At 46.5% G+C, this 14,426-nt stretch overlaps 5 annotated features.

Annotated features, from left to right (window-relative positions):
- Positions 9,913 to 10,601: an enhancer, noted in NCBI's record as "OCT4-NANOG-H3K27ac-H3K4me1 hESC enhancer chr2:85184893-85185581 (GRCh37/hg19 assembly coordinates)". NCBI's record gives its function as "activates a minimal SCP1, AML or CMV promoter by ChIP-STARR-seq in primed H9 embryonic stem cells {active_cell/tissue: H9 hESC(primed)}" and the evidence as "EXISTENCE:reporter gene assay evidence [ECO:0000049][PMID:30033119]".
- Positions 10,289 to 10,583: a silencer, noted in NCBI's record as "tiled region #477; K562 Repressive non-DNase unmatched - State 18:Pol2". NCBI's record gives its function as "represses a minimal TATA promoter and a strong SV40 promoter by Sharpr-MPRA in K562 cells {active_cell/tissue: K562}" and the evidence as "EXISTENCE:reporter gene assay evidence [ECO:0000049][PMID:27701403]".
- Positions 10,602 to 11,292: an enhancer, noted in NCBI's record as "OCT4-NANOG-H3K27ac-H3K4me1 hESC enhancer chr2:85185582-85186272 (GRCh37/hg19 assembly coordinates)". NCBI's record gives its function as "activates a minimal SCP1, AML or CMV promoter by ChIP-STARR-seq in primed H9 embryonic stem cells {active_cell/tissue: H9 hESC(primed)}" and the evidence as "EXISTENCE:reporter gene assay evidence [ECO:0000049][PMID:30033119]".
- Positions 11,293 to 11,982: an enhancer, noted in NCBI's record as "OCT4-NANOG-H3K27ac-H3K4me1 hESC enhancer chr2:85186273-85186962 (GRCh37/hg19 assembly coordinates)". NCBI's record gives its function as "activates a minimal SCP1, AML or CMV promoter by ChIP-STARR-seq in primed H9 embryonic stem cells {active_cell/tissue: H9 hESC(primed)}" and the evidence as "EXISTENCE:reporter gene assay evidence [ECO:0000049][PMID:30033119]".
- Positions 11,983 to 12,672: an enhancer, noted in NCBI's record as "OCT4-NANOG-H3K27ac-H3K4me1 hESC enhancer chr2:85186963-85187652 (GRCh37/hg19 assembly coordinates)". NCBI's record gives its function as "activates a minimal SCP1, AML or CMV promoter by ChIP-STARR-seq in naive and primed H9 embryonic stem cells {active_cell/tissue: H9 hESC(naive and primed)}" and the evidence as "EXISTENCE:reporter gene assay evidence [ECO:0000049][PMID:30033119]".

Raw genomic sequence — 14,426 nt, forward strand, 5'->3', positions numbered from 1 at the left:
TCAGCCTATACATTCTTATTCTTTTTTTTCTTTCTTTTTTTTTTTTTTTTTGAGACAGAGTCTTGCTCTGTCACCCAGGCTGGAGATCAGGCCATTGCCTGATCTCGGCTCACTGCAACCTCCACCTCCTGGGTTCAAGCGATTCTCCTGCCTCGGCCTCTCGAGTAGCTGGGATTACAGGCATGTACCACCACACCAAGCTAATTTTGTATTTTTAGTAGAGACGGGGTTTCACCATGTTGGTCAGGCTGGTCTTGAACTCCTGACCTCAGGTGATCCACCCACCTCAGCCTCCCAAAGTGTTAGGGTTACAGGCGTGAGCCACCATGCCCAGCTATATATATATTTTTTGTTTGGTTGGTTTTGTTTTGTTTTGTTTTTTGAGGCAGAGTCTCGCTCTGTCACCCAGGCTGAAGTGAAGTGGCACGATCTCGGCTCACTGCAACCTCCGCCTCCCAGGTTCAAGCGATTCTCCTGCCTCAGCCTCTCGAGTAGCTGGGATTACAGAAGCGCACCACCACGGCTGGCTAATTTTTTGGTATTTTTTAGTAGAGACAGGTTTTCACCATGTTGGTCAGGCTGGTCTTGAACCCCTGACCTCAAGTGATCCGCCCGCTTCAGCCTCCCAAAGTGCTGGGATTACAGGCGTGAGCCACCACACCTGGCCTTATATTCTTTTTAAAAAAAAAAAAAAACAAAACAAAAACAAAAAGAAAAAAAACACCTGATGGGGTCAGGTGTGATGGCTCACACCTGTAATCCCAGCACTTTGGGAGGCCGAGGTGGGCGGATCACTTGAGGTTAGGAGTTAGAGACCAGCCTGGCCAACATATAGTGAAACCCCATCTCTACTAAAAATACAAAAATTAGCTGGGTGTAGTGGCGCACGCCTGTAATCCCAGCTACTCAGGAGGCTGTCTGGAAAATCACTTGAACCTGGGAGGCGGAGGTTGCAGTGAGCTGAGATCACGCCATTGCACTCCAGCCTGGGCAACAAGAGCGAGACTCCATCTCAACAAAACAAAACAAAAAAACAACTTGATGGATATCTTTGTCAGTACATATAATTCTATTTGGTTCTTTTTAATGGTCACATAGTAAGACTTATTATATTAGGGTCAGCAAAGTATGGCCTCTAGACCAAATATGGCCCAGCACCTAAAAGAAGTTGTATGGGAACATAGCCATGCCTATTCCTTTCCATAGAGTCTCAGCCTGCTTTTGCACTATAGTAGCAGAATTGAAAGGTTGCATCAGAGACTGTGGCCTACAATGCCCGGAGAGTTTACTATCTAGCTCGTTACAGAAAAAGTATGCCAACCTGTGCAATATATGGCTGTATCATGCTTTATTTAGCCAGTCCCTGTTAATAACATTTAAATTGTTTCCATTTGTTCAGCATTAGCAAACAATCTCAAAATTAACACTTTCGTTTTCAACATTTACATAAGTTGGTTGGGCGCCGGTGGCTCACGCCTGTAATCCCAGCACTTTGGGAAGCTGAGGCGGGCAGATCACGAGGTCAAGAGATCAAGACCATCCTGGCCAACATTGTGAAACCCCATCTCTACTAAAAATACAAAAATTAGCTGGCCCTGGTGGTGCGCGCCTGTAATCCAAGCTACTCGGGTGGCTGAGGCAGGAGAATCGCTTGAACCTGGGAGGCAGAGGTTGCAGTGAGCCGAGATCACGCCACTGCACTCCAGCCTGGGTGACAGTGCGAGACTCTGTCTCAAAAAAAAAAAAAAAGAAAAAAAAACATTTACATCAGTTGATGGCCACCACGGCTATCAGTGAGTGAGAACATTAGTAAGTGTGAACCCAATGTATCCGTACAGAAATGTTTCCTTTAAGAGTGGACCCTCACATTAATAGACATTGTGGCTCCAGGGGCAACTTTGGAAATAGGAGCAATTGCCAAAGTTGCCAAGGCAAAGGGCTGTACAGAAAAATCTCATTTTCATAATAAAGAACCAGAACACTCACCAAAGAGCATCAAAGCAGGCTTCAGGATCCAGGATGAGGTGAAAATTCAGGGATGCAGAACAGTGAAACATAGATACGAGCCGTGGATGGCCTACTGTCAGTGATGGAGTGACATAAAGGAGCCCAAAAGTAAAGGGAAAGATATCATTTTAAACATTAGCTGGGCACAGTGGCACATGCTTGTAAGTAATCCCGGCTACTCGGGAAGCTGAGGCAGGAGGATTGCTTGAGTCCAGCAGTTCAAGGCTGCAATGAGCCATGATCATACCTCTGTGCTCCAGCCTGGGCAACAGAGTGAGACCCTGTCGAAAAAAAGAAAAGAAAGAGAGAGGCCGGACGTGGTGGCTCACACCTGTAATCCCAGCAGTTTGGGAGGCTGAGGCAGGTGGATCGCCTGAGGTCAGGAGTTTGAGACCAGCCTGACCAACATAGTGAAACCCTGTCTCTATTTAAAATACAGAAAATTAGATGGTGGCGGGCGCCTGTAATCCCAGCTACTCAGGAGGCTGAGGCAGGAGAATCGCTTGAACCCGGAAGGCAGAGGTTGCAGTGAGCCGAGATCGTGCCATTGCACTCCAGCCTGGGCAATAAGAGCAAAACTCCGTTTCAGAAAAGAAAAAAAAAGAAAAGAGAGAGAGAAAGAGAGAGAGGAAGGAAGGGAGGAAGGGAGGGAGGCAGGAAGGAAAGGAGGGAGGGAGGGGGAAGGAAAGGGAAGGGAAAGAAAGGAAGGAAGGAAAGAAGGAAAGAAAGAAAGAAAGGAAAGTAGCAATTACCAAGCATTTGCCAGGCACAAGTGCTTGATATTGTATAGGCAGGCATGGTATTCCAAATGTTCAATAAGGATTATGGCTCAGACATCAGCCAATCAGAACAGATGAAGAACTTTTGTGTTTTTCTTTCTTTCCTTCTTTCCTTCCTTCCTTTCTTCCTTTTTTTTTTTTTTTTTTTTTTCTTTTTGAGACGGAGTTTCGCTCTGTCGCCCAGGCTGGAGTGCAGTGGCGCGATCTCGACTCACTGCAAGCTCCGCCTCCCGGGTTCACGCCATTCTCCTGCCTCAGCCTCCCGTGTAGCTGGGACTATAGGCACGCGCCACCATGCCCGGCTAATTTTTGTATTTTTAGTAGAGACAGGGTTTCACCGTGTTAGCCAGGATGGTCTCGATCTCCTGACCTCGTGATCCGCCCGTCTCGGCCTCCCAAAGTGCTGGGATTACAGGCGTGAGCCACCGCGCCCGGCCCTTTCTTCCTTCCTTCCTCCCTCCCTCCCTTCCTTTCCCTTCCTCCTTCTCTTCCTTTCTTTCTTCCTTTTTTTTTTTTTTTTTGAGACACAGACTTGCTCTTTTACACAGGCGGGAGTATAGTGGTGCAATCATGGCTCACTACAGCCTCGACCTCCCAGACTCAAGTGATTCTCCCACCTCGGCCTCCGTAATGCTGGGATTACAGGCATGAGCCACTGCACTCGGCCAGATGCAGGACTTAAATAATTGATATCACTGAACCAGTGTGAGCTGCTGAATATCACACTGCCCATATTCAGTACTCAATTTAATCCCCACAGTCATATGCCACCTGACAGTCAAGAGAAGCAACTTTGAGGAAAAATATCAACCAACACAGTTTCCTTCTCCTCCAAGCATGTCTCGGGATATGTCCCCTCCACTCTAACCACTGATGGTAACTGAAGAAGCAATTGTCAGACCTCCTGCACAGTCTCAGACTGTACTAGAAAAGATGGATATTTGTGTGTAAAGTTATATATTGCTATAGATATTTTTCCCAAGAAGATATACAAGTGGCCAATAAGCACAAGAAAAGATGCTCAACTGGGCGTGATGGCTCTTGCCTACAATCCCAGCACTTTGGAGGCCGAGGCGGGCAGATCACCTGAGGTCAGGAGTTCAAGACCAGCGTGGCCAACATGGCAAAACCCTGTCTCTACTAAAAATACAAAAAAATTAGCCAGGCATGGTGGCAGGCACCTGTAATTCCAGCTACTCGGGAGGCTGAGGCAAAAGAATCGCTTTAACTCAGGAGTTGGAGGTTGCAGTGACCTGAGACTGTGCCACTGCACTCCAGCCTGGGCAACAGAGCGAGACTCCATCTCAAAAAAGAAAAAAGAAAAAGAAAGAAAGAAAAGAAAAGATGCTCAACATTATTAGTTATTAGAGAAGTGCAAATCACAACCACGAGATACTACTCCATATCCACTAGAATGGATATAATAAAAAGAGGGACCATAACAAGTGTCAATAAGGATGTGTGTAGAAATTGAAGCCCTCATCCACTGAAGGTAGGAATGTAAAACAGTGCAGCTGCTGTGGAAAACAATTTGGCAATTTCTCAAAAAGTTAAACAGAGGTACCATATACCCCAGCAATTCCACTCCTAGGTATACACCCAAGAGAAATGAAAACAAGTGTCCACATAAAACTGGTACACAAATGTTCATAGCAGCACTATTCACAATAGCCAAAAGTAGAAACAACACAAATGCTCATCAACTGATGAATGGCTGAACACAATGTGGTATATCCATACAATAGGCTATATTATGCAGCCATGAGATGTACTGAGACATGCTCCAACATGGATGAACCTTAAGGACGTTGTGCTAAGTGAAAGAACAGACACAAGGCCTGGCGCAGTGGCTCATGCCTGTAATCCCAGCACTTTGGGAGGCCAAGGCGGGCAGATCACCTGAGGTCAGGAGTTCGAGACCAGCCTGGCCAACATGGTGAAACCCCATCTCTATTTTAAAAAAGTACACAAATTAGCCAGTCATGGTGGTGTGTGCCTGTTATCCCAGCTACTCAGGAGGATGAAGCAGGAGAATCGTTTGAACCCGGGAGGCAGAGGTTGCAGTGAGCCAAGATCGTACCACTGCACTCCAGCCTGCGCGACAGAGCGAGACTCCATCTCAAAAAAAAAAAAAAAAAACCCAGAAACAAAAGGCCACATAGTATATATGATTCCGTTTTCATGGAATGTCCAGAATAGGCAAATCCATGGACACTGAAAGTAGATTCATGGCAGCCTGAGACCGAGGGTGGGAGAAACGGGAAATGACTGCGAATGGGTATAGGCTGATGAAAATGTTCTAGAATTAGATAGCGGGGATGGTTACATAACTTTGTTAATATACTAAAAACCTTTAGAAGAGTGTGAATTTTATAGTATGTGAATAACATTTCTTTAAAAACTACAGATTAGGCTGGGAACAGTGGCTCGTGCCTGTAATCCCAGTACTTTGGGAGGCCAAGGCAGGAGGACTGCTTGAGCCCAGGAGTCTGAGACCAGCCTGAGTAACATAGCAAGACGTCACCTCTACAAAAAAATTTTTTAAATTAGCCGGATGTGGTGGCACTCGCCTGTAGTTCCAACTACTCAGGAGGCTGAGGTGGAAGGCTTGCTTGAGCCCAGGAGGTCAAGGCTGCAGTGAGCTGTGATTGAGCCACTTGCACTCCAGCCCGGGTGACAAAGTGAGACCGTCTTAAAAAAAATAATAATAATAATTTTTAAAAAGCTACATATTATTAGCCAGGTGTGGTGGCACATGCCTGTAATCCTAACTACTTGGGAGGCCGAGGCAAGAGAATTGCTTGAACCCGGGAGGCGGAGAGCCAAGATTGTGCCACTGCACTCCAGCCTGGGCAACAAGAGCGAAACTCCGTCTCAAAAAAAAAAAAAAATTACATATTATTATGCCAATGAACCACATTCCTTGGTGATTTGCCTTCATTTTTTACCCCAAAGATCTCCCTGTATAAGAGAGAGTATGTGCTTCATTTTGGCACATCCTAATTATCAGTAATGCTTATATAGACTTACTCTGGGCCAGATACTACGCTAAGTGCTTTCCATGAGTGAATGAACTCTATTGTGTGAGATGAGCCACTATTTATACTTCTGGACCCGTGATCCCTGATGTCTGCCCATTTGAGTTCTGAGAGTTGGCCTCAGCACTAGGATGGTGGCAGCAGTGGTGCAGAGAGAGAGAGCACAGGTACTCGGTTCAAAAAACTCAAGAAAACTCAGAACACTGATAGAAAATAGTCTGGGACAGTATCCAAAAACAGAAGAACAAGTTGAAGCTCAAAATCAGGAATTAGGTTGCAGACTGGGATTGGTAAAGAAATTGGAGTTGGGGGTGGGTTCCCAAAAAGGGACAATGTCAACACCCCATGCTACAACACCGAATCCCAATAAAACATAGTAGCTATAATCCAGGTCTACATCAAAAGTTCTTGGGAATGTACATGAAATCATACTGGGGCCAAGATATGTGGAGTGAGGCACAGATCTGGCCATGCAGTGCAGGGATGATGCCAGTGTTGATTTCTAAGCCTGTGTTTTCCCTGAGTTCTGATGGATCAGTGCCTAGGAGAACAAAGGCAGGATCAAATGCTCCAGGTACTCAGAGTCAAAAATCCAATCTACAGGGCAAGCAATGAAGACAGCAAGACAGGACCGCAAGACGAAAACTAAAGGCCAAGCCCAGGGATGGGTGATGATTTCCAAGAAAACATGTAAGCTCACTGACTGTCCCTGGCCACTGGCTCCCTGGTGCCAGATTATAAAGCGAAGTTATGGGAAACAGCAACATGAACTCAGGGATCAGCCCAGGACAAACAGCTGAGTCTGCTTTCAACCTGCCCCCTGGAATGAAGTGAGCTATGGACTACATAACAGGATGCGATGAGACGACAGGACAGCAGAAAGCTAAAGGCAAGCCTAGTAGACTCTATCCAAAGTGTCCATCTGGGTTGGACACAGTGGCTCATGCTTGCAATCCCAGCACTTCGGAAGGCCAAGGCAGGCAGATTGCTGGAGCCCAGGAGTTCAAGATCAGCCTCGGCAACATAGTGAGACTTCGTCTCTACAAAAAAAAAAAAAAAATTGGGGCCAGGCGCAGTGGCTGACGCCTGTAATCCCAGCACTTTGGGAGGCCGAGGCGGGTGGATCACAAGGTCAGGAGTTCAAGACCAGCCTGGACAATATGGTGAAACCCCATCTCTGCTAAAAATACAAAAATTAGCCAGGCATGGTGGCAGGCATCTGTAGTCCCAGCTACTTGGGAGGCTGAGGCAGAGAAATTGCTTGAACCCAGGAGGTGGAGGTTGTAGTGAGCCAAGATCACGCCACTGCACTCTAGCCTAGCCGATAGAGCAAGACCCCGTCTCAAAAAAAAAAAAAAAAGTAATCAGCTGGGTGTGGTGATGTGTGCCTGTAGTCCCAACTATTCCTGTGGCTGAGGTGGGAGGATTGTTTGAGCCCAGGAGTCTGGGGCTGCAGTGAGCCATGATCATGCCACTGCACTCCAGCCTGGGTGACAGAAAGAGACACTATTTCAAAAAACACAACACAAAAAAAACAAAAAAGTTTGGCCGCAATGGCTTTTTAGAGACACCACATCTAAAAAAAAACAAGAAAAAGAAGGGCAGGGCATGGTGGTTGACACCTGTAATCCTAGCACTTTGGGAGGCTGAGTCTGGAGGATCATTCTGAGGTCAGGAGTTCTAGACCAGCCTGGCCAACATGGTGAAACCCTGTCTCTACTAAAAATACAAAAATTAGCTGGGTGTGGTGGCACCCATCTGTAATCCCAGCTACTCGGGAGGCTGAGGCATGAGAATTGCTTGAACCTGGGAGGCAGAGCTTGCGGTGAATCAAGATTGGGCCACTGAACTCCAGTGTGGGCGACACAGCGAGACTCTGTCTCAAAAAAAAAAAAGAAAAGAAAAGAAACAACTGGCCACAGAGTAGAGAAAGAACAGAATGGGAGAAAGACGAGAGGCTTGGGGACCAGTTAGGAGACAACTACAAGTTGAGAGTAAAGTGATAAAGGCCTAAATCAGAAGTTGACAAACTTTTTCTGTAGGGCCAGAAAGATGTTGGGTAACTCTCCCAGGGTCACCCTGATGGTATGTGGTTGACAAACTTTTTCTGTGGTAAATATTTTAGTCTTTGCATGCCATAAGGTCTCTGTATCAATTTTTTAACTATGCTATTGTAGCACAAAAGTAGCCATGGATAAGAAGTAACAGGCTGGGTGAGGTGGCTCACACCTGTAATCCCAGCACTTTGGGAGGCCAAGGCGAGTGGATCACCGGAGGTCAGGAGTTCGAGACCAGCCTGACCAACATGGAGAAACCCAGTCTCTACTAAAAATACAAAATTAGGGCTGGGCGCGGTGGCTCACACCTGTAATCCCAGCACTTTGGGAGGCTGAGGTGGGCAGATCACCTGAGGTCAGGAGTTTGAGACCAGCCTGGACAATATGGTGAAACCCTGTCTCTACTAAAAATACCAAAATAAGCTGGGCATGGTGGCATGCGCTTGTAGTTCCAGCTACTCAGGAGGCTGAGGCAGAAGAATTGCTTGAACCCAGGAGGCAGAGGTTGTGGTGAGCCGAGATCGTGCCATTGCACTCCAGCCTGGGCAACAAGAGCGAAACTCCATTGCAAAAAAAGAAAAAAAAAAAAAAAAGAAAAATTAGCTAGGCCTGGTGGTGCATGCCTATAATCCCAGCTACTCAGGAGGCTGAGGCAGAAGAATTGCTTGAACCCGGGAGGTGGAGGTTGCAGTAAGCTGAGACGGCACCCCTGCAATCCAGCCTGGATGACAGAGACTCTGTTTAAAAAAAAAAAAAAGTAACAAATAGGCATGACTGTGTTCCCTGTGTTCCAATAAAACTTTATTTACAAAAATGGTGGCGGGGGGCCAGATTTGGCCCATGGCCTGGTTTGCCTACCCCAGACCTAAAGTAATAATACAATAGTCAACATTTGTTGAGAACTGTGACATACCAGGCACTTTATTACTGATTCTCACTGCAACCTTGAGGGGAAGTATTATTGGCTCCCTTCTAAAGAAACTGAGGCTGAGAGATGTTGGGTAACTTTCCCAGGGTCACCCTGATGGTATGTGGCAAAGCTGGGATTCAACTCAGGTCTTACTCCAGAGTTCATGATTAGTCTATGCCACCTGCCGGAGCAGTCAAGAGGAAGGGAGAGGGGAATATATGACTATCAGGTCTCAGTTCCTGGGAGAATTCACTCACTCACTCACTCACTCACTCACTCACTCACTCACTCATTCATTCATCCATTCAACAAATGCTATTTGCAAAGTACTTGGGATTCAAAGACAAATAAGATATGATTGCTGTCCTCGAGTAGCTCAGAATCTACTTTTTTTTTTTTGAGACAGGGTCTTGCTCTGTCATCCAGGCTGTTGTGCGGTGACACAATCATGGCTCACTGCAGCCTCGACCTCCTGGGCTCAAGTGGTCCTCCCGCCTTAGCCTACCAAGTAGCTGCGACTACAGACATGCAGCACCACACCAGGTTAATTTTTTTGTATTTTTTTTTTTGTAGAGATGGGGTTTCGCCATGTTGCCCAGGCTGGTCTCGAAGTCCTGGCTCAAGTGATCCACCCGCCTTGGCTTCCCAAAGTGCTGGGATTACAGGCGTGTGTCACCATGCCTGGCCAAGTCTAGCATTTAAACCTTTAACTGAATGTAAGGGATGAAGAAAAGGGAATGTGATTTATTTTTTATTTTTATTTTTTGAGACGGAGTCTCGCTCTGTCGCCCAGGCTGGAGTGCAGTGGCGCGATCATGGCTCACTGCGAGCTCCGCCTCCTGGGTTCATGCCAATCTCCAGGCTCAGCCAGTAGCTGGGACTACAGGCACCCACCACCCCGCCCGGCTAATTTTTTTTTTTTTTTTTTTTTTGTATTTTTAGTAGAGACGGGGTTTCAGCATGTTAGCCGGGATGGTCTCGATCTCCTGACCTTGTGATCCGCCCGCCTCGGCCTCCCAAAGTGTTGGGATTACAGGCATGAGCCACCGCGCCCGGCTGGGAATGTGATTTATTAATAAGATCAATGAATTAAAACATTGAAGTTGCTCTCATCCCTGCTTCCTTCCTTCCTCTAAGCATCCAGAGAGCCCTCTGATCCTTTGGGATCACAGACATGGGATATTTTTACTCTCCAGCATGAACACATAGGTGGATTTACTGTGAAACTACTGAAGCTTACACTTCAGGGTCCCTGGCTTCCTCAAACAGGGCTTCCAAGCCCTATATCTAATTTTGCACTTCTTTCTTAAGAGTTGCCTGTACCAAATATATAAGCCTCAGGGCCCCAAACCTGGATCCAGCCTGAGTGAATGTTTTTTTAGAGCCAGGTCTGATAGAAGCCTGTTTTTAAGGAATTACCAGGAACTGAGCATGCTGTTTTTGGCCCTCAGGGGTTTCTCTCAGAACTAAGAATTTGGGGGCTGTCCTCAGTCACAGGTGCAGCCTGAAGTCTGTTCCCGCCATGTTCACTCTCCTCTATTTACCATCACCTGCCCCTGCTGCGTCTTCCTTTAAAATACAGCCCTGGGCCCTAAGCTTTGTGCTGATTCAAGCTCTTTGGAATTCAAGACATCCAGGAATCCGACGCTCCAAGAATTTTCCCAACGACCTCTCAGTGGGCCATTCAGGCAGGAAAGGATACACACATTCCTAATGGGGCCAGGGGCTGTGACTTAGCCTGTGTGTGGCTGAGAGCCTGCTGAATACAAGGTGCTGGCAGTTGGCAGGGCTTCCCAGGGTGGGGACTTCTTGCTGAGCTCATCAGCAGGCCCAGCTCTGTACCCATTTGTCCAGGGAAAAACCAACCCCTAATGGAACTGTTTGTTTTATACTCTCTCATCGAAGTCATAAATGACTCACAACTAGAATGTTATTAACGTGAGAACAGAGGCCTACCTGGCAGAATAATTGGTTTTGGTCATTTGCTCAGAGTGCCAGGCAAATCCACAAAGCATATCAAATTACAGGTTAGAAACCTGATGAATAAACAAGAATAATACTGTGAGTTCTCAAGGGTACGTCCTGTACCTGTTTTGCCCACTGTCATATCTCCGGCAAGACACAGTGAATACAGCCCCTGACACATTGGAGGTAATCTATAAAGAGTTACTAAATGATTAAAGAAAAGGGATGAGCTGTTCTTAGTGGAAACACCCATTTCTCCTAAGATGAATTCGCATTCTTTTGGACCAGTTCTTTCTAAATTAACAGCACTACCCAGTGGTATCAGAGCATCTATACCTTTGGATATTACAACAACTCTATAAATTCTAATTGCTTCTTCTTTTTTTTTTTTTTTTTTGAGACAAGAGTTTTGCTTTTTCACCCAGGCTGGAATGAAGTGGCGCGATCTTGGCTCACTGCAACCTCCACCCCACCGGGTTCAGGCGATTCTCCTGCCTCAGTCTCCTGAATAGCTGGGATTATAGGCGTCCGCCACCACGCTGGCTAATTTTTGTATTTTCAGTAGAGACGGTGAAGCCATGTTGGCTAGGCTGGTCTCGAACTCCTGACCTCAGGTGATCCACCCACCTCAGCCTCCCAAAGAGCTAGGATTACAGGCGTGAGCCACCGTGCCCAGCTGAGACGCTATAATTTCTAACCTATGGCTTCCCCTTTTCTGGATTCCATGCAGTCCACACACAAGCATTCTATGACTCATTACCTCCTGAGCATCCAGCTTCTTAACTGTTACATTCTAGGGATCTTTTCCACAGTATGTTTCTAACTCCTTGATGGTTTTTGGGGGAGACCTGGGTGACACACTTGGAACAGACCTGCTCCAGGGGCTTGTTACTTTGTGTGCATCCCGCTCCCTTCACTTTCAGGTGACCTCATTTTCTAATCTTCCTTAGAGCAACCAATCCCCCATACACTGTCTCCTTCTTCAGAGAATCTTTCTATGTGGATTTGTGCTTTTTAAATTGGCATATGAGTTTTAGGCACAGTTGGACCAGGAAATGCCTTCCTGAGGAATTCAGCAGCTTCTAGAGATAAAATGTGATAGAGCAAATTATGAGTCTGGGAATCAGGACATCTGGGTTCCAGTTTTGTACACATCATTCATTTCACAAATAAGCACCCAAAGCCCACTATGATAGCCAACTGCAGGGCTGTGCTACAAGTATGTAAACAAAGACACCTACTCCTGCCCAAGGGCAGCCCAGTGGGGGAAGTGAAAGGATTAAATTGCAATAATAGAGAATTGTAAAAGGAATTGGGAGCACTTAGTGAGGTGGTTCTACAACTTTATTGCACCATCAGGATCCCCACGGGTGTTCTTTCAAATGCCAATCTTTGAGCCCCATCCTTCAGAGATCCTGATCCGGTTGATCTAGGAATGCTCAGGGACATTGAATGTTTATTCTGAGCACCTTCCCTCCTCCCTCCACTCCCCTCCTGGTGATTCCACTGGAAGTGGCCCCAACCCACACTCTTTCCTTCAAGAAAAGGTTCACAAAGGCAGGGGTCTGGAGCTGATTTTTTTTTTTTTTTTTTTTCCCAAGAGACAAGGTGTTGCTCTGTCACCCAGGCTGGAGAGCAGTGGTGCAATCATAGCTCACTGCAGCCTCAACCTCCCGGACTCAAGTGGTCCTCCCATCTCAGCTTCCCAAGTAGGAACTACAGGCATGTGCCACCACGTCCAGCCCTTACAGCACATCCAGCTCTTACAGCTGATTTTTAAAGGAGGAAGGAGTACAAACTTATGAGGCACAGAGGCAAAAAATGGCATGATTTTACCCTACGCTCTAAGAAAATGAAGGCCATGAGGCATGAATACCACAGCTTCCTGACCTACCCAAATGGACACCTTTATCTCCACTGGCAATTTTTCTTTTTTGACAGAGTCTCACTCTGTCTCTCAGGCTGGAGTGCAGTGGCACGATCTCGGCTCACTGCAACCTCCACCTCCCGGGTTCAAGCGATTCTCCTGCCTCAGCCTCCTGAGTAGATGGGACTACAGGCGCGAGCCACCATGCCCAGCTAATTTTTGTATTTTTAGTAGAGATGGGGTTTCACCATCTTGGCCAGGCTGGTCTTGAAATCCTGACCTCCTGACCTCCTGATCTACGCGCCTCGGCCTCCCAAAGTGCTGGGATTACAGGTGCGAGCCACCGTCACTGGCCAATTTTTGTATTTTCTTAGTAGAGACAGGGTTTCACCATACTGGCCAGGCTGGTCTTGAACTCCTGACCTCGTGATACACCTACCTTGGGCTCTCAAAGTGCTAGGATTACAGGCATGAGCCACCGCACCCGGCCCATTGGCAACCTTCCTATAGCACCAGCAGAGGAAGAGGCATCCTGCTCCTGGTGGAAGCTAAATTTATCTGGGCTCCTTCTCCCCTCCATCTCCCACCCTCACCACCCCCACCTCCCTGCTCCACACACACATACACCCTTCAGTTCTCTGCTGCCTCTCCTGGATCCTTCCCCTAAACCTCTAAACACACTAGACTCTCCTATTCCTAAAACCAAAAACACTTCCCTTCACTCTGGGGCCTCCACTTACCATCTTTTAATTTCTCATTTATTTCTCTGACAAGCTTTTTTTTTTTTTTTTTTTTTTTTTTTTTTTGAGACGGAGTCTCACTCTGTTGAGTGGTGGCACAGTCTTGGCTCACTGCAACCTCCAGCTCCTGGGCTCAAGTGACCCTCCTGCCTCAGCCTCCCAAGTAGCTGGGATTACAGGAGTGTGCCATGACGCCCAGCTAATTTTTGTTATTTTTAGTAGAGACAGGGTTTCACATGTTGGCCAGGCTGGTCTTCAACTCCTGACCTCAAGTGATCCACCTGCCTCAGCCTCCCAAAGTGCTGGGATTACAGGTGTGAGCCACCATGCCCGGCCTCTGCCAAGCTTCTTTAAATACAAAAGAAAGAAAAAAGAAACAAAAGGGCTATGAAACCAGTGTATATGTTCATTACAGAAAATTTCAAAACTAAAAGGAAAAAAAGTCCTTCATACCTTATCATAAGCTCTCAAAACATCAATCAGAACTGCTTCAATTAGTTTTGTCACCAGAATGTAAACACCTCCAGGATGGGGACATAGTTTTCTTTTTCATGATTGTGTCCTCAGTGGACCCAGAAGACTCAATAAATATGTATTTATTGGGGACTACTAGATGGAAGAGAGAGGGAGTGAGTCAAGGGCTGAAAACCTACCTTCTGGGTACAATGCTTAGTGCCTGAGTGATATAATCATTCACACCCCAAACCTCAGCATCATGCTATATACCATATAACAAACCTGGGTAACATAAAAAAAAATACATCATCCATATTATACCCCCATAACCATATTGACTCTGATAGCCATCCAATCTTTACATGTTTTATTAAAAATAAAAAATGAGGACAGGTGCCATGGCTCACGCCTGTAATCCCAGCACTTCGGGAGGCTGAGGTGGGAGGATCATTTGATGCCAGGAATTTGAGACCAGCATGAGCAACATAGCAAGACCTCAACTCTAAAAAAAAAAAAAAAACTTAAAATTAGCTGGGCCTGGTGGTACATGCCTGTAGGCTCAGCTACTCAGGAGAGTGAGGGTGGGAGGATCGCTTGAACCTGGGAG

Source organism: Homo sapiens, chromosome 2, assembly GCF_000001405.40.
Source record: "Homo sapiens chromosome 2, GRCh38.p14 Primary Assembly".
In the NCBI taxonomy this organism is placed as follows: domain Eukaryota; kingdom Metazoa; phylum Chordata; class Mammalia; order Primates; family Hominidae; genus Homo; species Homo sapiens.